This window comes from Homo sapiens, chromosome 9 (genome assembly GCF_000001405.40).
Source record: "Homo sapiens chromosome 9, GRCh38.p14 Primary Assembly".
Lineage (NCBI taxonomy): Eukaryota > Metazoa > Chordata > Mammalia > Primates > Hominidae > Homo > Homo sapiens.
This window is the reverse complement of record NC_000009.12, coordinates 93,278,243-93,304,040: the sequence shown is the minus strand read 5'-3', so window position 1 is coordinate 93,304,040 and position 25,798 is coordinate 93,278,243. Positions and strand designations below refer to the sequence as shown.

General features: G+C 50.6%; 1 protein-coding gene across 51 annotated transcripts in view, besides 3 other annotated features; it reads right to left on the bottom strand.

The window, feature by feature from the left end:
- The window catches only part of WNK2 (WNK lysine deficient protein kinase 2), a 136,431-nt gene that overhangs the window by 16,529 nt on the left and 94,104 nt on the right, over window positions 1–25,798 (bottom strand). For 8 of the 51 annotated variants that reach the window (XM_047423747.1, XM_047423752.1, XM_017015050.2 and 5 more), the window contains 6 exons: window positions 14,421–15,253; window positions 13,994–14,063; window positions 11,645–11,730; window positions 10,868–11,550; window positions 5,974–6,188; window positions 4,780–4,971 (listed from right to left, as the gene is read on the bottom strand). In XM_047423747.1, the coding sequence (XP_047279703.1) occupies window positions 4,780–4,971; window positions 5,974–6,188; window positions 10,868–11,550; window positions 11,645–11,730; window positions 13,994–14,063; window positions 14,421–15,253 (2,079 nt within the window). Of the gene's footprint in view, window positions 1–3,891; window positions 3,991–4,779; window positions 4,972–5,973; window positions 6,189–10,867; window positions 11,551–11,644; window positions 11,734–13,993; window positions 14,064–14,420; window positions 15,254–25,798 lie in introns of all 51 variants that reach the window. The other 43 variants (XM_047423761.1, XM_047423767.1, XM_017015054.2 and 40 more) reach the window with 13 other exon arrangements.
- Window positions 1,928–2,840: an enhancer, noted in NCBI's record as "H3K4me1 hESC enhancer chr9:96063483-96064395 (GRCh37/hg19 assembly coordinates)". NCBI's record gives its function as "activates a minimal SCP1, AML or CMV promoter by ChIP-STARR-seq in primed H9 embryonic stem cells {active_cell/tissue: H9 hESC(primed)}" and the evidence as "EXISTENCE:reporter gene assay evidence [ECO:0000049][PMID:30033119]".
- Window positions 4,789–5,289: an enhancer, noted in NCBI's record as "H3K4me1 hESC enhancer chr9:96061034-96061534 (GRCh37/hg19 assembly coordinates)". NCBI's record gives its function as "activates a minimal SCP1, AML or CMV promoter by ChIP-STARR-seq in naive H9 embryonic stem cells {active_cell/tissue: H9 hESC(naive)}" and the evidence as "EXISTENCE:reporter gene assay evidence [ECO:0000049][PMID:30033119]".
- Window positions 14,595–15,391: an enhancer, noted in NCBI's record as "H3K27ac-H3K4me1 hESC enhancer chr9:96050932-96051728 (GRCh37/hg19 assembly coordinates)". NCBI's record gives its function as "activates a minimal SCP1, AML or CMV promoter by ChIP-STARR-seq in naive H9 embryonic stem cells {active_cell/tissue: H9 hESC(naive)}" and the evidence as "EXISTENCE:reporter gene assay evidence [ECO:0000049][PMID:30033119]".

Here is a 25,798-nt window from a genome sequence, read left to right as displayed (position 1 = left end):
AGCCCACGGGACAGCTGGGGCAGCCCACCTCCCATCATGGGTGCCCTGGCGGCTTCACCTCAGTCCCCCACAACTTCCCGCGCACCCTCAGGTGGGTCAGCCCCCGCCATGGTCAGCACTGGCTCCCTTTTCTGGCACAGGAGAAAAATGGGCATCCAGGGACAAAACCCCTTTTAAGGTGTCTACGTATTGAACAACCATGTTCTTGAGCCAAAAACTGTCCACAAAGCATGCATTGGGAAGCAGGATCTGCCTTGGCTCTGCCCAGGGAGACCTGGGGCTGTTTTCATGTTGCCTTGAGCTAAATGACCCCACATTGCACTAGGCCCCATTGCACACAGGCCTGCTCCACAGACAGCCCACAGTGGTACGCAGCACTGACCACCCTGGCTGCAGAGGTCAGGGCCTGGTGGGCGCAGTGCAGGGTGGGGGCCCTCCTCTCTGGATGCCCTCCACCCCGAGGCCTCCTGAACACCTGCTGCAAAGAGCCTCGCTGAGCATGCACTCTCTCCCCACCGGGAGGGATGAAAGCATTCCACGGTGGGAGAAGGCCTAGAAGGCATCGTGCAGTGACACCGGAGGGTCCCTGAGCCAAACATGCTGCAGCCAACAGCCAATGTGGAGAAAACCCAAAGAGATACCAGCGTGCAGAGAGAAAGGCCCACAGGGTGCCAGAACATGCCCGGTCAGGTGGGAAGATCCAGAAGGACCCCAGCTTCTGACAAGCAGAACCAACAGAACCACGACCAGAGGTGCCATCTCAGCATCTGCACCTGACCCTCCTCCCTGGCTCCAAGGCCAACATCCCTTAGAATGCACTGGGCCAGGTGTGGTGGCTCCCACCTGTAATCCCAGCACTTTGGGAGGCCAACGTGGGTGGACTGCTTGAGCCCAGGAGGTCTAGACCAGCCTAGGCAACATGGTGAGACCCTGTCTCTACTAAAAATACAAAAAAGTAGCTGGGTGTGGTGGTGCAGACCTGTGGTCCCAGCTACTTGGGAGGCTGAGGTGGGAAGATTGCTTGAGTCAGGGAAGCGGAGGTTGCAGTGAGCTGAGATCTTGCCGCTGCACTCCAGTCTGGGTAACAGAGCCAGACTTTGTCTCAAAAAAAAAAAGGGAGACTGCTCTGGGGCACTGGGTCATGTGAGCTCCCCACAGCAACTGCTGACCACAAGGGGGCATCTGCAAGCTGGGTGAGAAGTCTATGCCAAGGGGCCCAGCTCACAGGGGTTCTAAGCAGGGCCTTGCACTCCCTAGGGGTCTGTCCACCTGCTGCTCCCAGCCTCCACTGCTTTATTCCCTGTCCTGCACCTTGAGTCAGCTCGGGCCTCTGGAGGTGCCTGCTGCACTGCCCTGCTCTATCCCTGGGCACAGCCACCTGGGCACCCGCAGCCCATCCTCTGGCCTGGCCTCAACCCACCCTGCCTGGGGCCGTTTCATCTTCTCTGACCTTCACAGAGGCCAGGATCCTTCTATATTTCAAAATTTAACACATTTTGTTTTCCTGGAACTGTTTCTCTTCCAGGAAGTGGGAGTGCCCCACACCAGGGCAGTGAGCTGAAAGCTCTCCCCAGGCCCTAGGGAGCAAAGGCTGGGCTGGCTGCGCCGGCTGCCCCCCACTAGCCGCACCTTGGCATCCACCCTGCTCCTCCTCTACTTGCAGCGCGACCCCCGACCCCTCGGTGTCTTCCATACACCGACCTCAGCGTCTTCCTAGCCCATCTGCTCACACTACCCCTGCCTGCAACCCTCCCTCCTGGCCTCCAAGCCTGGCGCAATCCCACAGCTTCCGCCCAAGTCCTCAGCCTCTCAGCGCTCACAGGGCTGCGCCCACCCCTGCAGTCTTTCCCCTGGAGGTGCTTGGTCTCCTCACAGACCCCACAGCTCTCCCTTCTCTTTTGGGCTGCCCTGGGGGTTTACCCATGAGCAGCAGATGTGCCAGTGGATGGCTCAACAAGAAGTCCAGCCTCCACAGCCCAGGGGCACAGAGGCAGGAGGGGCCAGTCCCAGCCACATCCCAGGAGAGTGGCAGAGACTTCGGAGGCCTGGAGCTGATCCAGACAGGGCTTGAGAGGCGCCCAGGGCAGAGGCCCACCTGGGCTCTCCCCGGCCAGCAACTTCAGAGTGTGGGGGAACTGGGGGAGACATTATGGCCCAAAAAGACTAAGACTAAGACTTGCCTGATGGGGGCTAAGCCGTGAAAACAAGCAATACCACAAAACACAGCATGGGGGTGGAAGTGGGGCCTGGGTAGGCGCCATACCTGACACTAACACCCTGCACTGAGTCTCCCAGGTGCCCTCGCCCCCAGTGACAGCCCCAGATCGAGCCGCACATGCAGGAGCCGGAAGAGGAGCAGCAAGTGAGGCACAAGGCCAGCAGGGCCGGGAACCGGCTGCGGAGAAGGAACCACAGCCGGCTGCCATAAGAGGACCCAGAGACGCAGGGGTGGGGGGGAAGGCGCCCACTCCTCCCCAGATTCAACTCAGCAACTCACCAGACACCAGGCCACCCAGACCCCCAGACCAACAGCCCAGATGACATGGTGGCCGAAACAGGGCAGCCTGTTAAACAGGCGAACGGGAAGCCCTGGGAAGGCCCTGGCATTCCTACATGGCCCTTGTGTCCTCGAATTGCCTGCCCGGAGAATGATGACCCACATGGACCTCTGATGGGGTGGGTGGATGGCAGTGGACGCCTCCCACAGGCATGGCCTCTGGCTCCCAACAAGCACAATGTATCTTTATTGTACAAGCAAAAAGTCACGTGCCCCAAACCAGCATATCCAATCCAATTGTTGAAAAAGCTTAATTTTCCTGTTAAAAAGACAAAAGCCTAAAAATCTCACAGCTTTTGGTTCACTGGCCGATCGTCCTGAGGGTTAAAAACAAACTGCGTGCTTTGGGATGGCCCCAAGCAGGCAGAGCCTTCCCTGGAGATGGAGTTCCTGGGCACTAACTGTGTTCCAGGGGATCTGAGCAAGGCTGGGACTGGGTTTTGGCTTAGTAGCAATTGGAGGAACTGCGTCATTGACTTCATCCCTGCGGTCATGGGAGGTCACAGGAAAATACAGCAAGTAAAGTGCTCCCACTGGCTGGAGGAGGAGGAGGAGCCGGCCAAGCAGGATGCATGCTCCAAAGAAGAGCTGCCCAGGTGGCCGTCACTCTCCTATTTGGGGTTGGAGACAGCAGTGGGTGAGGAGCAATGACAAAGGGGACCAGACCTGCCCTTCCAGTGGGGAGGGGCTGGGGAGGCCCGAACTGGAGCACGTTCTCTCAGCATTTCCACATGCAGGGCACAGGGCGGTGGGTGTGCAGGGTACTGGGTGCTGGGATTTGGCCCTGGTACAGAAACCACGCCCTCCAGTGACCTTTAGAACCGTATAGGCTCGCTATGTGCATGTCTTCACAGTCCAGACACGCGTGACACACACTGTGCATCTGGAGGAGGTTGGGGTTGTCTTTTTGTTGTCGCTGGAACTGGGGACAGCGGACATGTATATTTGCCACAATTGCAACAGAAAAAAAAACTACATCCAACATAAAAAAAAAAATTAAATAAATGAGGTGACGAAAAGAATGCAAAGGGCTCCAGTCCTTCTGGGCAGAGGTGCCCGGGGCGGAAGGCAGGCCAGCCGCTGCACATGCTTTCCGTGCCCAGGCACCAGCCATGAGCATGCACACACGCTGTGTGGGGCTTGGGGGTAGGCGCTGGCGGCCGCCGCTCCAGGGGACCGGCTCATGGGGTTCCACTTTGATATTAAATAGGTGACTTCGATGGGGTGGGGGAGGCATCCTATGAAATGTATGAAAGGTAATGAAGACAGGGAGGGGGTGGGGGGAGAAAACCAAGGGCCAGGAGGTGATAAAATACAAAAGAACAAATACAGACAGATGGACACAGATACGGGTCCACTGAGGAATCGAGCACGAGGTTTGCTACTAGACTTATAGGTCACTCTCTCAGACGTTGGGTGGTAAACCGTCCAGCCTGCAAATGAATATAAAGGGAAGAAAACAAAGAGACACTCATCAAGTACAGGTTGCTGCGATTCCTCCTCCACACCAACAGCCACACCAGCCTCGTCACTTAACATCCACGGCTCCATCTAGCCCAGCCCGGAGCACCAAAGCCACTGACCATGTAATGGGAAGGAGGCAGCGGGAGAGCAGAAGAGAAGCAGCCCGGAGAGGGGCGGGCAGGGTGGGGTGGGCGGGGCGGGGCGGCTTCATGGTCACCATGATTTCTCTGGACAGAGATGGTGAGGACAGGAGAGCACCTTATTGAGCAGCTGCTGCTGTCCACGCAGCGTTGACGAGAGAATTTCCTCCTCAAGGCCAAACTCCCAGCTCGAAAGCTGTGCCCTCGTCCCCCCAGCCGTCCCTCTGGACTTTGGAAGGACCCGGTGTTTAGCACCATCTGGCTCCGCTGTGGGGGTGGGGGTGGGGCAGCCAGTGCCTGGGAACTGGCGCCGGAGCACACAGCCGGATGCCAGGTCCCCTGCCCTCCCCAGTCCTAGCCACTTCCCCAAGGTCCACTCTAGCAAAGCATCACCTCCCCCTGAGCTGCTTACAAGCAAGACTTGGTGGTGGATGGGACAATTCCATTCCTTTCATCCAAAGACTACACCTTTTTTTTTTTATCCTTTTTAAAAGAAGCCTCTCAACAGCCTTTGCCACAGCTTGCAACCCCTCTACACAACACGGGCGTGCTCCTGGGGACACCACTGAGGCCCTACGTGGCTAGCACATGCTCGGAGACAGGCAAGCTGGAAATCACCTTGGCCACGCGCTCCGCCTCCATCACTGGCTAAGCCGGAGCAGATGTCCGAAGACAGGGAGGCCCGGACGGAGCAGGGCTGCTGGGTCTGCACTGCCTTCCCGCTCAGGCCCGTGCTGTCTGCAGTGAGCCCCACACTGGCTTGGGCAGGGTCCTTAGCGGGAGGGCCTCTGCTGGAGTCAGCCAAGTGACCTGGGCGGGGGGAGAAGAGGCGACAGGCACGATGAGGCGCCGCCGGGTCGGGGCCGTGTGGATTGAGTCTGTTCTGCCTGCTTATTGCTGGGTGACCTTGGGGAAGCTCACGTCTCCTGCAGACCACAGGCACATGGCCACATCTCCCACAGAGGAGTGATGGGGAAGAGCAAAGAAAGTGCCCAGTCTCTACCAGCCCCCACTGCCGTGCTGGACTTGTGTTGAGCAAATATAGTGACAGAAGACACACCCAGGCACACAGTGGCCTGTGTACTTCTCATCTCAGTCTTCCCTTAGCTCTGGGAACTGTCTCTGAATTCGTGTAATGGGTATAATTCATGGCTGTGTGCCCTGAAGGTTGTGGGCTTATAGTGAGCTTATGGTGGCTTGCCTGGCATGCTTGGGGACTTGGGCTCACAGGGGCTCCATCCCAGACTGCCAGGGCTCTCCACCAGCAAGCAGGCTGCAGTGCTGCTCAGGAGGCCTCAGGAAGCCCTGACATGCAGGGACGTGGGCTGGTGGCTGCCTGGGGCCAGGCCAGTGCCACTCAATGACTAGGTGTCACCTTTAACAAGACTGGGAGATCATCACCGTCCTCCCGTCCTCCCCCAGCCCCTAACGACAGCTGCTCGGCTGGCACACACCCAAGAAATGGGTCAAAGGAAGCAGCCACCATCCGTCCACGCAGTGCCCTGCAGAGGAGCAGGTGAGGGAGGGCAGCCTGAGCTTCCCTGGCACAGCCCACAGCCTAGAGTCTCAGGCCCAACGCTGAGCAGCCCCTGCCCACTCACGGGCCTTGCCTCTCTGCATGAGGACGGAGGACCAGGGCTGCCTTCATGCTGCAATGACTCCCCTGCTCCAGGGAAAGGAGATTCAGTAAGGAGATAACCCCGAGTGGTCTTCCAGGTCCGAGGGTGTCACACCTGCACGGAGCCTACCTCCCAGGCTCACTCGGGGGTCCCCAGCCCCGCTCCCATCCCAGCCCTGCACCCGGAGGCCGACCTGTGCTGGAGGCCACGACCTTGAGCTGCCGCACCAGGGGATTTAGCAGCTTGCCTGCCTTCAGCTTGCTCTTGCTGGTTTTTCTCCGGCGGCCAGTGGGGGGTGCCGTGTGGAAGAAGCCCACGTTGGGGGGCAGTGGCTTGCCCAGGCGGCGGTACAGAGCTTCGATCTCCTGCTTCTGCTGGCTCTGCAGCTCCGAGATCTCCTTCAGGTGCCTGCAGGAGGGGACAGGAGGGAGCGCCGATGGGCTTCCTCGGTGTTTCCAACACCGCCAGCTCCTCCAGGAGGGAGGTGGCGTGGGAGAACATGGGATGAAGGGTGGGCACCCTGCCTGTGCCTTGGCCTGGGCCACTCTAAAGCGGCACACAGGGGCTGTAAAATGACACTGTTTGTTCATATCTAAACGGGGAGGTCCCAAGGTAGTGGGCCTCTGGCATCGACGTGCCCAACAGCACGGGCCAGGCTAAGAAGCCTCAAACTTCCAAATACCCAGACTCGGAATGCTTACATTGATACTTGCAATGAAAGTCCCAAACATGAACACAGGTGAAGGGAAATCAGCAGGTGCCAGGCACTAGAGACTGCCTCCATTTATCAGGCAAATGTGTGTTATTTCCTCCACAGGGGAAACAGACAGTGGAAGGCAGCTCAGACCAATGCAACACGGCATGAAGAAGTCAGCGAGACGCTCACTGACTTCCAGGGGCCATGCCACACCATATGTGAGCCCACTGCCACAGGTCCCACATCACCCCGCAGGTGAAATGCAGGTGGCTCATTGACCATGGGCAAGGGCAGAGTCTAGAACTGCCGAGGCAAGAGGAGGATGCCCAGGGGAGGATGCAAAGGGGAGGATGCGGAGGGGTGGATGCAGAGAGGAGAATGTGGAGGGGAGGATGGGAAGGGGAGGATGGGGAGGGGATGACGCCGAGGGGAGGACGCCGAGGGGAGGACGCCAAGGGGAGGAAGCCGAGGGGAGGAAGCCGAGAAGAGGATGTGGAGGGGAAGATGCGGAGGGGAGGAAGGTGAAAGGAGGATGCTGAGGGGTGGATGGGGAGGGGAGGATGCGGAGGGGAGGAAGCCAAGGGGAGGAGGCCGAGGGGATGCAGAGGGGAGGAAACAGAGGGGAGGAAGGTCGAGGGAGGTAGAATGGGGAGGGGAGTAGGCTGAAGGGAGGATGCGGAGGGGAGGGTGCGGAGGGGAGGAAGGTGAAGGAAGGATGGAGGGGGAGGAAGATGAGGGGAGAATGGAGAGGAGAGAAAGGTGAGGGAAGGATGGAGGGGGAGGAAGGTGAGGGGAGGATGGAGAAGGGAGGATGGAGGAGGAGGAGGAAAGTGAGGGGAGGATAGAGAGGGAGGAAGGTGAGGGGAGAATGGAGAGGGGAGGAGGATGAGGGGAGGATGGGCAGGGGAGAAAGGTGAGGGGAGGATGGAAGGGAAGGAAGGTGAGGGGAGGATGGAGAGGGAATGATGGAGAAAGGAGGATGAAGGGGGAAGAAGGTAAGGGGAGGATGGAGAGGGGAGCATGGAGAGGGGAGGAGGCCAAGGGGAGGAAGGTGAGGGGAGGATGGAGGGGGAGGAGGGAGAAGGAAGGATGAAGAAGGAGGAAGGTAAGGGGAGGATGGAGAAGGAGGAAGGTGAGGGGAGGATGGAGGGGGAGGAAGGTGAGGGGAGGATGGAGGGGGAGGAAGGTGAGGGGAGGATGGTGAGGGGAGGATGGTTAAGGGAGGGTGGTGAGGGGAGGAAGGAGAGGGGAAGATGGAGGGGGAGGAAGGTGAGGGGAGGAAGGTGAGGGGAGGATGGAGGGGACGATGGAGAGGGGAGGAAGGTGAGGGGAGGATGGAAAGGGGAGGAAGGTGAGGGAAGGATGGTGAGGGGAGGGTGGTGAGGGGAGGATGGTGAGGGGAGGGTGGTGAGGGGAGGAAGGAGAGGGGACAATGGAGAGGGGAGGAAGGTGAGGGGAGGATAGAGGGGGAGGAAGGTGAGGGGAGGATAGAGGGGGAGGAAGGTGAGGGGAGGATGGAGGGGATGATGGAGAGGGGAGGAAGGTGAGGGGAGAATGGAGAGGGAAGGAAGGTGAAGGGAGGATGGTGAGGGGAGGATGGAGAGAGGAGGAAAGTGAGTTGAGGGTGGAGAGGGGAGGAAAGTGAGGGGAGGTTGGAGAGAGGAGGAAAGTGAGTTGAGGATGGAGAGGGGAGGAAGGTGAGGGGAGGATGGAGAGAGGAGGAAAGTGAGTTGAGGATGGAGAGGGGAGGAAAGTGAGGGGAAGCTGGAGAGACAAGGAAGGTGAAGGGAGGATGGAGAGGGGAGGATAGAGAGGGGAGGAAGGTGGGGGAGGAAGGTGAGGGGAGGATGGTGACGGGAGGATGGAGAGGAGAGGATGGGGAGTGGAGCTGGGCCTCCCTGTTGCATCACAGTGCTCTGAGCTTCTGCAAGGCCTAAGGCCACCCCAGGGGCCCTGGCTGGAGGCCTGTAACCCCTTGCCTTCACCCCAAGTGCCCCTCCTCTTCCTTTGATGGCAAGAAAAACAGGTAGTTTTCAAGGTCGGAAATGAGGAAGCAAGTTCTGATTTTACTCCTGAATTTCAACACCTGCCACATAGGCTTTTTGTTTTTTTTTAATGACTTCCTCTAACTACTAAACAAAATAAATAAATAAAAATAAAACTCTGAATGGCTTTCTCCCTACAAACACCAGAGAGACAGAGCATCAGATGATCTTCTGGAAGGGAGTACTATTTCAAGAGAGTGCTGACTGCCCCAGCGTTGGGGAGCGGCTGCGTGGGCAGGGGAGCGTCTTATCCAGGCTGGAGCTTATCCAGGTTGGAACTCTGCTCCGAGGCCGCACCCACATGGTCCAGCTCCCGCGGTCCCAGACTGCAATGTGGCTCCGACACAGGGGGTGCCCTGGACCACTCCAAGCTGCCCCTGGGCTGCTCACCACAGAGCCCCGCGGCCTGGGACATCTGAAAGCACAGGCTGGGCTCAGCACAGGGCTCCTGGAGCCCTAGGAAACCCCAACGCTCATGGCAGAAATGCTGCAATGAGGCACAGGCACCTCGGTATTCAGAGGGTTCAAATGAAAGCAAGGTTGGGGAGCTGCTGGCTACTGCCTATCAGATGCCAAGTCACCTCAATTCCCAGTTGAGGCTGAAAATCTTCCCCACCCTTTCCTAAAAGGTCCCCACACTTCCCTCTGGACTCCACGGCCCTCCCAGCATCCACTTCCTGTTCTTAGGCTCCTGGAAGTCTCTCCTTTGAGGTGCTTCTGGTCCTCTCCCTGCCCTTTCCCTAGACCCCACCTGCCCCTGGCTCCCAATCACTTCTGCCATTTCTAGTCCCCACCCCATTATCTCTACCCTCTGTCTCTGGCTCCTGGCCCCTGTCACCCAGGCTCTCAGAGCCTATAGCAGCTCCTCTCCCCAGTGTTCTCACATCCACACCTTCCTGCCCCCTACAAGCTTCTCTTCGTAGCAGCCACAGCTGGGGTGTGGCTTGGCAACATCTCAGCTCCCCTTTGTGCCTGCTGACCCTGACCACTGGCTCCCCAGGATGACATTCCTGCTGAGCAAATGTGCCCAGGATCTGCTGCCCTCTATCCCAAAAGGTTCTAGGTCATACCCACCTTGGGCTCCATCCACTCTCTGGCCTCCACCAAGGATCTGTTGGGCCATGTGGCCAATGGGGGCCACCTTCCTGGAGGCCTCTAAGACCAGCAGTGATTCCACCCATCCCTGCCTTCCTGCCTCTCCCAGCAGCTCCAGTTCCCTCCTCAGTTCTCCACGAACACAGAGACACTCACTATATCCTCAATGTATGGCACTGACCACCCCGCCAGCCTGGGCAGACACTCTCTTAGCCTCTGTGCATACGCTGTGCAGAGAGGGCTCGCAGGAGAGAAAGGAGATGTGCACGGCTCTTCCCACATAAGCCTGTGATTTCCAACAGGACACGACTTACAAACGTGCCTTCAGGCACTGGTGAATTTGGTGTTAGCCCTCCCATCCCGAAGGACATCCCAGTAACCCCCCAGCCGCAGCAGGACAGAATAAATATTTGCTGGATGAGGGAAAGAGACATGGAGAAAGAGAGAGGAAGAGAAAGAAGGAGGGTGGGAGAGAGAGAGACAGAGACAGAGACAAAGAAAGGAGAGACAGATAGGAAGAGAGAGTGTGCCAGAAACAGAGTGGTGGGAAGCGAGACAGGGAGAGAAGGAATGAAAGGGGAGAGAGAGAGAGAAGGAGAAAGGAAGAAAGAGGGAAGGAGACAGATGAGAGGCAGACAGGGTGAGGAAGACACATGCCTCAGTGATCCCCCAAGACATACCCCCAAGTGCAGCAGGAGGAGGCATGGCACCCAGAGAAGCCAGAAGCCAAGCAGACAGCAGGGTGGGGGCCGGCCCAGCCCAGAGGACTCTGAGTGGGAGACTGTCTACTCAAAACCACAGGGATGCTGGGCCTGGTGTCTCACACCTGAAATCTCAGAACTTTGGGAGGCCAAGGCGGGTGGATCACTTCAGGTCAGGAGTTTGAGACCAGCCTGGCCAACATGGTGAAACCCCGTCTCTACTAAAAATAGAAAAATCAACCGGGCGTGGTGGCAGGCACCTGTAGTCCCAGCTACTCGGGAGGCTGAGGGAGGAGAATCGCTTGAACCCGGGAGGTGGAGGTTGCAGCGAGCGAAGATTGCACCACTGCACTCCAGCCTGGGTGACAGAGCGAGACTGTCTCAAAAAAAAAAAAAAAAAGCCTTCATCACTCCCCTGTCCCTGCTTGGCAGCTCCAAGTGGGCGCTGCTTGGCCAGGACTTCAGCCCCGGCACCAGGGTTCCCTCACAACTGGGAAGGGGTGCCATGGCCCAGGGGCGGGGGCAACACTTCCTGCCCGCAGGACCTACTTCTCCCGCAGACTCTGCAGCTCCTTCTTTATGTCAGCATCCTCGAGCTCCGAATCATTGTCGCTGCTGATGTAGGACGACTGGGAATGGAAGGAGGTCACGCTGATCGTGGGGACCTTCATGCCCACCCTGCTGGGTGTCTCGGGGCCCAGCGAGCCGGCCCGAGAAGGCCTCTGCAGGAAGGCGGTGGCCTTCTTCACGAAGTCGCCAGCCACGCTGCCACTCACGGGCAGGGACGCCTGCTTCTGCACCGGGGGTCTCGCCCGAGGGCCCTCGTCCCCAGAGTCGCTGGACACGGGCTCGCCCACGCCGACCTCGATGGAGGAGGCCGTCTGCGCCCGCCGCACTGCCAGCTTCACGTCGGGGCTGGAGGGGGCCTCGTCCAGGTAGACGTCGGGTGGGGCAGAGTATCTCAGGCTGTGGGGGGAGGCCAGGGTCCACTCGTCCTGAGTGCTGACCACCGAGAAACGGCCCACAGTCTTGGCTGGTGAGCTGACATCCTGCTGCTCTGGACGTTTCCGAGGGGACCCCAAAGCTCGAGCGCCGAGTGTCTGGGGGTGGCTAGCCTGGCCCCCCACTGTGCCCATGTCACTCGGCGGGGGCTCTGCCGAGCTTTCTCCAGCTTCTCCACCATCCCTGTCTGTGGGCTCCACACGTGCAGGTCTCACAAAAGCAGGTACATCCTTGGGAAACAAGCGGAGATGAAGAGGTTTCATGTGAACATCAGCACAGAGCAAACCCTGCCAACCAGCCAGGGGGTCGTCAAGTCGCCCTTACCTGGGGGACGCTGGGGACCACATGGGAGTCTGAGGCCACCTGCCTTCCATCTCTGTCATAGCCTAGCATACTCCTGGGAGACGACTCTGCTATGGGAACATCAGAAACGTTACTGGGGCTGAAGGAGGAGGAAGAGGCAGAGATGGCTCACAGCTGACCCGAAGCAGCCCAAAGTGATCCCATGGGAGTGCCTCCAGACAGGCAGGACAATGGAAGTGGGTACTGGGAGGAGCCAGCTGTGTGTGCTCCTCCCAGTTTTGGAAACAGCAGTTTTGGAAACTAAAAATACTCCATGATGTCTTGGCCCCACGGCATTCTATGACAGATGCCCAATAAACCCGGGCAAGAGAAGAGGCGTCAGCCCCGGGCACCCTCATGCAGCCAGGCCTTCTCTGAGCACCTGAAGGCCAGCACCCTGTCTCATCCCATCGTCTGATGTGAGAGGGTCCCACAGCGCAGATCAATGGGGCTGGGTTCCAGCCCTGCTCCCACGGTGTCTCAAAAACTGTCACCCACTGCACCTGCAGCTATTCCGGTGCTCTCCATCTAGGGAGCTCTTTCTGACTAGCTTTTCCCAGGGTTGCCGTAAAGAGGCAACCAGAAAAGCCAAGCAAGCTGACATGGGGGCCTCGCCTGAGCTGAGACCCTCATGTGACAAAAGAAACTCGTGGGTAGGCCAGGGCATGAGCCAGACCTATGCGCCGTGGGGAAGGTGGCAGCAGCGGATGGAGCCTCTGGGGAGGTTGGGGCCGCCCGCACATGTACACGTGTCTCCTTTGCACACCCCATGTGGAAACTCACAAGGGAACAACACCCAAATCAGATTCCTAAGGAGCCCCAATCCAGTCCCTGTCACGTGTCCCCAAGCCGTATGTAACATCTGACTCCCCTCCTCATATCTCCATGCCCACCTTCAGGGCTAGGAGGTTCACTGTCAATCGCACTCTCTCTACTTCTAAATGGCTCCAACCTCCAGGAAAGGTCACTTTTGCCAAACTAGAATCTGTCTCCTTGGAGCTTCCCCCATGAGTTCCACACTCTGGAAAGAGTATGGACTTGGAGTACAAGTTATATCATTTGCAAGTTACTGAAGCTCAGTTTGCTCATCTGCCAAAGGGGCCCATGGGACGGACACATCTCAGAGCACGAAGTCAGAGTCCGTGGAGCGCCACAGGCAGCCCAGCGTGGTCAGGGCTGGCACTCCAACACAACCTCTCATTTCCACCCTTTTGGGAAGATGCTCTTGCTTCTGCCCTGTCCCTTATCTTCCTCAGGCTAAACATCACCAGTTCTCTGCGTGCACAGCTTCTGACCCCAGAGCCAGCTGCCCCGACCCCTCTTAAAGTCTGGCGTCTAGAAATAAATGTGGCCTGGGACTACGGGGTCCCGCCTGCGGCTGATGTGCGCTGAGGTTTCCGTTAGGAGGCTCAGGGGAGTCCTGATTCATAGTGTGCCCATCCCCCAAGAAATCCTGGGCTGAGAAGGAACCTCAGACCTCACAAGATCAGTCCGGCTCCCTTAGAAGGGACACTGAGGCATGCAGATAATGAAATGAGAAGCAAAGCAAAGGTGTTTCCACAGAGACGCAGTGGCAGCCAAGAGCCACAAGGGAAAGCCCCACAGCAGGTCTTCAGGGATTGCCCTGGTACCTGGCGCTCCCAGCAGTCACAGCGCCCCCCCCACCGCACTGCTCTGCTATAGCTGAAGTAAGGCTGGGTTTTTGTGGGCATCTTGTAACCTTGCTGAAGAAAAGCAAGGGCTGGGGTGGGTCCACCGGAACGTGTGCAGACCCTCAGCCACTGGAGAGTCCAGGAGCTGTGACGTGTCCCTGCAACATCCCAGCACCCACCAACTGGGGCTTTATCCATTTCCCCAGAGGACTTCATCTCTCTAGAGTGTTAGCATGTGGCTCCTTCTAGAACTCAGTAGGTTTTAATTAAGTCAGGGGCATCCAGTCTTTTGGCTTCCCTGCACCACATTGGAAGATGAAGAATTGTCTTGGGTCACACATGAGATACACTAACAATAACTGATGAGCTTTAAAAAATTGAAAAAAAAAAAAAAGCTCATAAGAAGCTTAACAATTTGTGTTGGGCCCATTCAAAGCCGTCTTGGGCCACATGCAGCTCATGGGCCAGAGGTTGGACAAGCTTGAATTAAATCATGACAGACTCCTGCTGTGTCTGGGCCCTACACTGGATGCTAAAGGATCCCTTACAGATAAAAGGATCTTTAAGAAATGCTTTTATGCCTTAACAGATGAAAGACGAGGGTGCGGATGCAGAAGGTTCTGGGGCAAGGAAGCCAGGCAGCACCTTGTGAACGCAGGGTTCAGCAGGAAGCTGTTACCTGTCATTGACGAGGACGTGCCCTGCTCCATCACGGCCCCTCGAGTGGGGGCCAGTTCTGACTTCTCCACCTGGAGAAAGAAACACAAAAAGAGAAGAGCCGTGAGACTCACAGGTCAGCATCTCAACAGCTGTATCTGCAAATCCACTCCCCTCATCTCAAGCTGCCCCTGGGCTGCCCCAGCCCCTGTGTGTGCATGGATGGGGCTGAGTCACCTGACGCTGCACAAGCATGACCCCAAACAGGGGTCACTTGTTGCAAAACATGCATGGGTGAGTCAAACACACGTGGGTGGGTCACCAAGAGAGGGACGGGCCCTGAGTGAGGGCGGCTCTGCATAGCCAAGATGCCTGCCCACCCCCGGGCCTGCGCCCGGGCTCCGGCCCCTGACCCAGGGCAGTGTCTCTGGGACAAGGCAGCTACTCACCAAGGGCTGGGGCAGCTGGACACGCCCTGAGACCGCCTCCTTAGGCACTGGGGGCAGGGCCAGGTCCCCCCCGCAGACCTCTGAGCGGGGCTGGTCCCCTCTCAGGGGCTCCAGGGTGAAGTCTCTGTCGCCCACCTCCACAGGGGTCCCAGCTGAGGCTGAGGAGGTGGGCACGTGCTCCTGGTAGAGCAGAGTCCGCAGCTTCTCGTCCAGGCTCTTGATGGTGCTGTCCACAAAGCCCACCCTGGGGGGCGGCCCTTCCCCATCCGACTCCAGGGCCGAGGGTGGCTGTGGGGGGACGGTGGGCCCCAGGGGTGGGCTTGGGAGCTGGGAGGTGGCCAGGCTGACGGCCCCCACTGCGGCAGGAAGCAGGGGAGCAGGTTGACCCAAGGCGGGCTGTGGGGTCCCGCTGTGGGGGCTGGGCTCAGGTGCAGGAGGTGGCAGGGGCTCCCTTGGGGCACTGGCGTCCCTGGTTGAGGCAGCCTCTGGAGCTGGAGTGCAAGGTGCTAGGCCCACCACGAGGGGCTGCACAGCAAGCGGGGCCTCGTGAGTCTCCGCTAGTGGCTGAGACGTCTCGAGCTCACTGGTCAGCCCCTGAGGTGTCCCTGGACCCCCTGCCTGGCTGGCAGTTCCTGACGCTGGCTCTGGCATGGTGCTGGTGGCTGGAGCTGCTCCATCTTGGGGCAGAGCAGTCACAGGAGGGGAGGAGGGGGCCAAAGGGGCTGGGGGTGCCCCAGGAGGGTTGCTGGGGCCCGCCTGGCTCAGGAGCTGCTGACTGGCTAGAAAGCTGGGTTGTTCCTTCGAGGACAGCTGGTCTTTATAGGGCGCTGAATCTAGAAGAAATGGGGAAAATGCCTTTGTACCAGGGTACTCCAGTCCTATCTACCTGTTTCTTCCTTGGCTAAAAAGATGCCTTACACAGCTGGCCATGGCCCCAGCGTGCTGGTCTTCTCTGTTTCCCGACACGCCAGGCTCCTGCCTGCCTGCAGCTCAGCCCAGCCTTGGCTGCTGCTTCCTGTAACGCCTCCCACAGGTCTCTGAGCCACCAGCTTCGCAACTCCAGGTCCCTGTTCCCATAGTGTCCCTTGTGGCTGAACCAGCACCACCCTTCCTTCTGTGTCTTCTGTAGCGTGTGACCATCAGCTGTGGCTGTTGCCTGTCTGTCATCTGTCTGTCCACACCCTCACCCGCACAGACAGCTCCAGAAAGATACGGCTCTTGTCTATCTTGCACTGGACAAAAGTTATTCAATGAAATTTCAAAATTAAAGAGTTTAAGTAGTGAGCTGTACACACTTCCATGCCCAGGAGTGAGCAGGAGCCTGAAGCCTTCAGACCCCCAGTCTTTGGTATGGTCAGAAGCGCAGCCAGGGCTGGTCAGTGACCCTGTGGGAGGAATCCAGAACCCCAGCAGTATAACCAAGTCTCCCAGTGCCTTGTGCAGGAGCTCATGGAGCCTCCACCAGGCTCACAGGGACTGCGGGCATCTGAGAGGTGGCAGGACGGTGTTTCTCAAACTTGGCCTTGGAGCCCAGTTTTCCTTACTTGAAAATGCAACCCGACCTTTCTTTTTTTTTGGAGATGGTCTGGCTCTGTCACCCAGGCTGGAGTGCAGTGGTGCAATCTCGCCTCACTGCAACCTCTGCCTCCCGGGCTCAAGCAATCCTCCCACCTCAGCCTTCCTTGTAGCTCGGACCACAGCTGGATAATTTTTGTATTTTTCATATGAGACTGGGTTTCACCATGTTGCCCAGGCTGGTCTTGTACTCCTGGGCTCAAGCAATCCGCTGGCCTCAGCCTCCCAAAGTGTTGGGATGACAGGTGTGAGCCCCCACGCCCAGCCCACTTTGTCTTTTTAAAAAACACAAAGAAAATGAACACAAAAAAAGAAAACTGTTCAAAAAATAAAAGGTGAGAATGGGGAGATTAATAGGACCCTGATGCCCTCCCTCGTGCCCCCAGACTCCCTTGGTCCCCATCCCCTGCCTGGCCCAACAAAGGTAAACTAATTTGACCAAAATTTCCTCCACTGCTCCTTTCCGGCCTTACCGTTCGTCTGTCTAAACATGATGGTCGTGCTGCACGTTCTATCAATGGAATGGTACTCTATTCTGTGGTGCCTGGCCTCTCTCACCGTGTTTGTGAGATGTGTCCTTGTTATTGTTTGCACAACTGCACCATGATGCACGCATCCATTCTGTGTTGGTACTCACTGGGCTGTGGCTGGGTGGGACCACGACTAACACTGAGGCACAGTGCGTGCAGGCCCGTGTCCTGCCAGGCACACGCCACTGGGGAGCTGCTGGTCACTGATCCCCTTTAGCTTTATGTAAGGGTGCCAAGGTGCTTCCCCAAGCAGGAGCCAATGCCCCCACCATCGGCAGCCTCTGAGCACCCCTAGGGCTGTGTGATGGCGTCTTATTGTGGCTCTTTATTGTTTTTTAATTATGGAAAAAACATTTAAGATGAGATCTGCTGTCTTAACACATTTTTAAAAGCATGATACTCTATTGTTAACTATAGGCACTATGTTGTGTGGCAAAGCTCTAGAGCTTACTCAGCTTATATAACTGAAACTTTATGCCCTCAATGGTAACTCCGTTTCCCTCTCCCTCCAGCTGCTGGCAACTTCCATTCTGCTCTCTGCTTTGACTGTTTTTGACTTTGACTGTTTTAGATACTGCATATGAGAGGAATGAATCGTGTAGTCTTTCTGTGCCTGGCTTATTTCATATAGCATAATGTCCTGTAGGTTCATCCATGTCGTCGCAAATGGTAGTTTCCTTGTTTTTGTGGTTAAACAGTACTCCACTGTGCAAACATATCACATTTTCTTTATCCATTCATCTGTGAAGACACTTAGGTTGTTTCCATATCTTGGCTATTGTGAATAACGCTGCAATGAACACAGGAGAGCAGGTATTTCTTCCAAACCTTGTTTTCAATTATCTTGAATATATACCCAGCAGTGGGATTGCTGGATCATACGGTAGTTCTATTTTAATTTTTTGAGGAAGGTCCACATTGTTTTCCATAATGGTTGTAGTAATTTACACTCACACCACACTGCACAAAGGTCCCCTCTCTCCACATCCTGGCCAATACTTGCAGTCCTTTGTTTTTGAGAGCAGTGATCTTAACAGGTGTGAGGTGATAGCTCAGTGTGGTTTTGATTTGCATTTCCCTGATAATACTTAATTCAATTGAGTACCTTCTCCTGTGTTCACTGGCCATCTGGGTATCTTCTTTTAGGACACACCTGTTCAAGTCTCTTGCCTGCTTTTCTACAGAGCTGTCATTCTTTTCTTTTTAATTTGTGGTTCTTCATGATGCTGGGTAGAGAACTGTCTGGGGGCTATCTGTACTACAGAATCTCTCGCTCCGTGACTCGCCTATGTGCTCGATTAGTGGTGTCTTTTGATAAACAATAGTTTTTTATTTTAATACAGTCAAATTTAACCAATTTTTAGCCAGTCTTTCCATTTGCATATTTTGTTGAACTTTAACGTATGTGTTCTACGTGGGGGCCATAATGATACTGCCTCTTATTACTTCTAGGAACTTTACTGTTTTCCCTTTTACATTGAGATTCACAAGCGACTTGTTACTGAGTTTTGTGTGTGGTATGAGGATCATCTCCCTGTGTGGACAGCCTACTATCCCAACTCTTTCTGTTGAGAAGACCACCCGGTCTCCACTGTTTGACAATCGGACCTTTCTTGTCAACCACGTGTCCAAAGATGTGGGCCTGCTTCTGAGCTGGCTTGACTCCATTGCTCAATTTCTCTACCCTTGTTCTAGGACCAGATTGTCTCTGTGACTCCAGGTTTATATGAGTCACAACATCTGGGAGAATGGTATCCTTCCCCTAGAAGCTGTCTTGGTTTTTACTGGTTTTTGCATTTCTGTAAAGAGTATATAATCAGTGTGTTGATGCTCATTTAGAAATTGTTAGAATCTGAATCTGCAGATCTGTTTGGGAAGAAGTGTTTATAATACTGAATCTTCCAGTCCATGAATATGGTACATATCTTCCTACTCATTTCTTTTTAAAATTTCTCTCAATGTTTTGTAGTTTTTGGTATACAGATGTTACATACTTTTCGTTAGATTCATACACTGGTGTTTGGCATTTTTGTGTTACTATAAATTGAATTTTTCAATATTCTTTATTTTCTGATTGTTGTTGGTATACAGAAAGATAACTGCAGTCTGTAGCTACTTTGCTAACTTATTAATTCCAATTTATCTGTAAATTTAAATCTCTATGTATATAATCATGTTATCAGCCAACAGTGGTAGTTTTATTTCTTCCTTTCCAATCCTTATCACTTTTTAAAACAGTAATTGTTTTAATACCATTAGATATTGAGGCAAAATGATAAAATTATAGTGTTACCAAAAGGCCACGATTATTTCTACTTCAAAATAGAAAGAGTTTTAGCAAATGTATTCCTTGGAAATAACTGCTATTTAGCCCAGTAATTTTATAGGTAGAGCTTCTGAGTCAAAGAAGTTATCTTGCTTTGTCCAAATTCTTAACAAAAAATAGTAATGCTAAAAGGAATATTACCTTTTATGTAACATTATATAGAATTATATTGATCAGAACAATCATTCAGCTCTGCGTGTCTACTATGTGACATGCATTATGTATTTATTTCCATTTACAGAGTGGTTGATATTGGAGTAGATAATAGAAAAACACCAACCTCAAGTTGGTATCAACTCAAATAAGCAAACATTTTCTTTGGAAGACCTTGTTTAGAAATCAATGGCATTTTCTTCAAATGAAAAATAAAGTGTTTGTGACACCACCATGACACTTCCTTATACATATTTACAAAAAGTGGTCAGGGCATTGGCTCTTAAACTGGGCTGCAGGTTGGGTCCTACCCCCAGAAATCCAGATTTACCTGCATGAAGCAGGGCGTGAGCTTCTTCAGTCCCACTGCTTTCCCTTCTTTTTCTTTCTCCCTTTTTACCTCTCCCCCTTCCCTTCCTTTCCTGCCCACCCCCCGCTCCCCTGCAATATCTAGGACACAGGATACTTAATAGAAGTGCTGAGAATAGGCATCCTTATCTTGTTCCCCATCTCAAAGAGAAAGCATTCCACATTTCACCATTAAGAATATTTGCTGGTTTTGTTTTGTTTGTTTTTTGTAAAAACAGAATTTCCCATCTATTGGGATATAGTGAATAAATTTATTCGAATTAAGTTAAACCAACCTTGCATTCTGAAATCACTGCAACTTAGTAACTTGTCATACATACTCTTTTCATGTATCACTAGATTTAATTTGCTACTATTTTGTTTAGTATTTTGCAAGTGTTGATGGGAGAGGAAGAGATTGACCTGTTATCTTCCTATTTTATAATGTTCTCAGTCAGATTTTTGTGTCAAAGTTACGCTAGTTTGATAAAACAAGCTTCTTTGTTCTCTGGACGAGTTGGGTTAGATCAGAATTATTTCTCACTTAAGTATCTGTGGTAAAGCCATCAAGCTGAAACTTTTCCTTATAGGAAGGGTTTTTCCCCCTTATACACACCTCTGTGTGTTGACACTCACTGAGATGGAGGCCAAGAGGTCCAAACATATGTGCCTGATTTCTTTCTCACTGCCTTTTCTTCAACTATGATTTCTCTTTCCCTAACATTTGAGTGAGTCCATCTTTCTCATTATCGTGAACACTTCTTGGTTTTTTAACTATGCAGCATCCATTTGCTTCCTTGTTGGGTAGTGGCACTCCAAATTTCCTCTTGGGAACAACTGTCCCCTACTTTAACTCCAGGGCTATGCCTGCAATTTGGGCACAAGTCAGTGTACATTCCAGCCACCAGCCACAACTGCTTTAGAGAATGTGTCCTTGTTCTGCATAATGGGAGTCAGGGCCAGATGTATGAAACCTTTCAAAAAGGGTCTCTATTTTCTACCTGAAAGACTATACACACTGAGTTGTTCCAGCAATCTTGTCACCATGAAGGGTAGACATGAGAAGGCTTCTAATGACTGATTTGACTTTTTAATGTTTATAGCACCTTTCAGATTTTCTATTTCTTCTTAAGTTTGGTAAGTTGTAGTTCCCTAAGACATAATCCAAAGAAATTTTCAAATTCTTATATTTGTCTTAATGTTTGTAGGACTGTAGCAGTGTCTCCCCCTTTTCATCCCTAATATTGATTACTTATGTCTTTCTCTCTCCTTTAGTCAGTCTCATCACAGGGGGCTTACTAATGCTATGAGCCATTTCAAAGAACCGTTGCTAAGCTCTGTTGATACCCTATTGTATATTTGTTTACTATTTCATTAATTTATGTTCTTATCTATTTTACTTTCTCCTTTCTTTATTTGGGTTCCATTTTCTCTTATGCTAACTTTTTGCACTACATACTTTTATTACTATCAGACTTTTCTCCTGTCCAATATATGCATTTAAAGGCTACAAAGTTTCTGCTCAATATGCTGTTAACTGCATTTCACAAATTTTGATACGTAATATTTTCATTAGCATGATGTTCATATCATCATTCAGAATGTTTTATTAGTTTCCATTGTAATTTCTTCTTTGCCGAATGAGATATTTATAAATGCACTGCTTAACTATCAAATGTGGATATTTTCTAGTTATCTTCTAGTTAATGAGCTTGGGTTTACTTCCAACTTTAATCAAAAGCATGCATCAAGTGATTTTGATTCTTTGAAACTTGTTGAGATTTGTTTTGGGTCTGCGTAAAGTTAAATTAAAAATATTCTGTGTGCATGAAAAAACAGTGCATTCTTCAGCTACTGAGTACAGTGTCCTGTATATATAAGATACTAATTCTGTGGTTGAAATTTTCTCTATCCCTACTGAGTGTCTCCTATTCCAAAAGCTGAAATCTCCCATGATTGTAAATTGCTCCATTTGTTTTAGTTGTGTTAATTTTTATTTTATGCATTTTGAGGGCTTATTACTAAATATAAGCAAACATTAAATTATTATATCTTCCTGGCCAGTTGAATCTTTCACCATTATGTTTTTGCCTTAAAATCTACATTGATATAAAAATATAGACATTAGCTTCCTCTAGGTGAGTATTAGTGTGCTCTTTTTCCATTTTTGTTTTTTACTCTTAATCTTTTTATAATCTTATGTCTTTGTTCTGTTTTTTTTTTTTCACTTTTGAGAATCTTTGAGATTTAGTCCATTTACATTTAATTACTGATCTACTTGGGTTAAAACTAGCATCTTACTAAAGATTTCTATGTGTTCTCCATGTTCAGTGTTGCTGTTTCTTTCCTTCTTTGCCATATTTTAAAAAATTCCTTCCCCACCTGCCCCCTCCACAAGTGTGGAGGTTATCTGCTATTCTACGAGTCTCACAGGGGTTATTCTAGAGACTATCATTTGCATTCTTGATTTGGCTCTCTGCCTAGGCAACATGGAATCCTGGAGCCCTTTAAATGCATTTCCTGCCTCCTGATAAATATGCCCCATTTTCATGCATTTTAACATGCCAAACATTTTAAACCTCAAGACATTATTTTTTCATCCAGTCAAAATTCACTTAGATCTACTCATACATTTATAATTCCATCAGTTTTTGTTCCTACCTGCATTCTGGCCTTTCATCTGCAGTCATTGTTCTTCTGTCTAAAAATATTCCCTTTAGTATTTCTTTAATTGAGCTGTGAAGGTGATGACTGCTTTTCTCTTCATTTCATCTTCATGGAAGTCAGATCCTTTTACCGATATTTGAGGTTGGGGCTTATTTCCTTCAGCACTGCGAGGACAGCACTATTCCTTGTCCACTGGCATATGTTATCTGTACTGAGACAGGGGCTTCCAAACCTTTAAAGGACCTGTTTTTTCTTGGGCATCCTTTAAATTTTCCCATGTGCCTTTGATTTTCAGCACTTTATGATATATGTAAGTGCAGATTTCTTTTTTAACTTACAGAGTTTGGAAGTTTCTTGAATTAGTGGCTTCATGCCTTCCAATTCTCTGCATTATCTCTTCAAACTTGTTTTTGCTGCATTCTCTTGTTTTCTGGGACTCCAATTACATGATGTTTGACCATCTCACTGTAATCTCTATATTTCTTAGCACCTCTTTTCTATTTTCTACTGTTTTCATTATCCTTATTTTACTTTAGTTTCTTTAGAGCTTGCCGATTCTCTCTCTGGCAGTGTACAATCCATCCTCTGATGTCTTAATTTTAACTAATGTATTTTTCAGTTCTACAACTTCCATTTAGCTTTTTTTTTGGCATAGTTTCTAATTCTTTGACAAAAATTTCAATCTAGTCATTTGTTTCTTTTAATGCAGTAGGCAAACTTAGTTCTCAGTCTGATAACTCCACCATTGGGAACCTCTGCTGACATGCTCTGTTACTGCTGTTTGGATCTTAATAGCTTTATTTAGGTATAACTGCTACAATAAGTTGCACATATCTAAGTTTTGACACAGGCATATAAGTAAAATCATCACAATCTAATGAACATAGTCATCACCCTCCTGGATGTTTCCTTGTGAACCTTGTGTCTGTTCTTCCCTCTCCTTTCCTGCCACGCCTTTGTTCCCAACTACTGATCTGCTTTCAGCCACCACAAATAACTGCATTTTCTAGAATTTTATATATGTCCAGTCACATGGCAAGCATTCTTCCTTGTGTCTTTTCATTCAGCATAATTATTCTGAAAATCATCCATGCTGCAATGTGTATCAACAATTGATTCCTTTTTACTGCAGAGTAGCATTATAGTGTATGGGTAGACCACAAAGTGTTTCACAAAAGCATGTGGAAAAATTCAAAGAATGTTAGAGAAAAAACAGGTTCTTTAAAAGTTTGGAAGCTTCTGCCACAGTACAGACAACATATGCCAGTAGACAAGGAATAGTGCTGTCCTCACAGTGCTGAAGAAAATAAGCCCCAGCCTCAAATCCTGGGGAAAGGATCTGACTTCAATGAAGATGAAATTAACACAAAAGCATTCATGAGCTGCACATTTCAACTCAAGAAATGTGAAGGATAGACACCTAAGCCGTTTCCAGGTCTTGGCTATTATCAATAACGCTGCTATGAACATTCCTTTGCAGTGTATAGGCATCTGTTTTAACTAATTTTGGTTAAGTACACAGAAGTAAAATGGGTGGATCACATGGTATCTGCACATTTACTTTTTAAAGAAATTAACAAACTGTTTTCCAAAGTGGCTGTACCATTTCATACAGTGCCTAAGAGTTCCAGCTCCTCCATGGCCTCGCCAACACATGATCTGTTAAAGTTTAGTTATTTTAATAGTGTACGGTGGTGTCTCATTGTGGTATTAATTTGCATTTCCCTACTGAATAACCATCTTTTCATACACCCCTTTGGCATCCACATATCTTTGGTGAAGCATCTGTACCAACCTTTTCAATAGATCGTTTATTTTCTTACTACTGTCTTTTGAGAGTTCCTGATATCTGGATACAAGACCTTTATCACATATGTGCTTGGAAAATATCTTCTCCTAGTCTCTAGCTTATGTTTTCATTCATTTTGTGTCTGTCAAGGAGTAGACAGTTTAAACTTTGACGAATTCAGTTTACTAATTTTTTGTTTTACAGATCATGCTTTGATGTTGTATCTTAGAAATCTCTGCTGACCCAAGGTTACATAAATTTTCTCCTAGGTTTTCTACCATAAGTTTCATAGTTTTCAGTGTTACATTTAGGTCTGCATTCTATTTTGAGTGGATTTTTGTATATAGTATGCAGTATGAATAAACATCCTTTTTTGTGTGTGTGTATAAGGATGATCAACTGTTACAAAGCTGAAAAGACTGTCCTCACTTTCCTGAAAGTCATTTAAATGTTTATCAAAAACCAAACATCTGTAGGTTGTGTGGGTTGATTTCCAGACTATTTCATTTTGTTGATCTATCTGTCTGTCTTTGCATCAATACCACATTGTCTTGATTACTGTAGTTTTATAATAATTATTGAAATCTGGTATTGTTAGTTCTCTGATTTAGTTCTGTTTCCAATTTTCCATGCCCTTTGTGTTTTCATGTGAAATTCAGAGTTGGCTTCTCAGTTTCTACAAAGACTGCTGGTCTTCTGACTGCAGCTCATTGGCTCTGTCGGTCAATTTAGGGAGAATTAGCACTGTAACAATACTGTGTCTTCTGACCCATGAACAGGGCGCTTGTTTGGATCTTCTTTAATTTCCATGAGCATTGTTCTGCTGTTTTCACTGTACAGATCTTGCACATATTCTGTCAGGTTTAACCCTAAATAATCCATACAAAAATAATTTTCAGAATTTCAATCTTTGATTGTTGTTAGCATACAGAAATACAACAGCTTTTCATATATTGATCATGTATCTTACTACCCAGCTCACTTATTGATTCTAGTTGTGTTGGGGATTCCATTTGTTTTTCTACACAAACATGTTTTCTGCAAATAAAGATGGGTTCAGTTTTTCCTTTTCAATCTGGATGTGTTTTATGCCCTTTCCTTATGAACTGCCCAGAAGCTCCAGTAAAATGAGGAAGAGAGGTGGAAGAACAGACATCCTCACCTAGTTCCCAATCTTTGGGGGATGCTTTTCGGCTGTTCACCATTAAGTATGATGTTGCCTGTAGGATTTTGTATATTCCCTTCATCAGGGTGAGGAAGTTCCTTTCGATTCCAAGTCTTCTGAAGATGTTTATAATTGTTGGGTTTTGTCAACCGCTTTTTCTACATTTATTGAGACAACCATATGAATTGTTTTTCTTTGTTTTCTAGTTGATCAATATGGTGAATTACACTTCTATAGCTTTTTGAACATATGAACTACAGTTATAGTAACTGTCTTAATGTACTTAATCTGCTCATCCTAATGTCTGTATCAGTTATGGTTTGGTTTAGAAGGTAGGGTTTTTCTTATGTTGTCCTGTCTCATAATTTGGATTGGATGCCAGATAATGTAAAATTTAACATATTGGGTGCTGGATGAATTTGTATTCCTATAAACATTCTTGAAGTGTGTTGTGGGATGCAGTTAAGTTACCTTGAAACAATTGGATCTTCTCAGATCCTGCTCTTAAGATCTGACAGGTGAGGTAAGAGAAGCACTTAGTCTAGGGCTAATTATCCTCCAGGACTGAGGCAAGCGCCTTTTTTGTACTGTACCCAAAACCCCTTGAATTATAAGGCTTTCCAGCTGGCTGGCAGGAACAGACATTCCCAGGCCTGTGTGAGTTCCCGGGTCCACTCCCTCTGATCCTTCGTGGTGGGTCATTCCTCAGCCTGGGTGAGTTTCCTCACACACAGTGCTCTGCGAAATCATCCAGGGGAATCACCCGTTATCTTCAGACTCTTCTCTCCGCAGCTCTCTCCTCTCCAGAACTCCGCCTTGGAAATT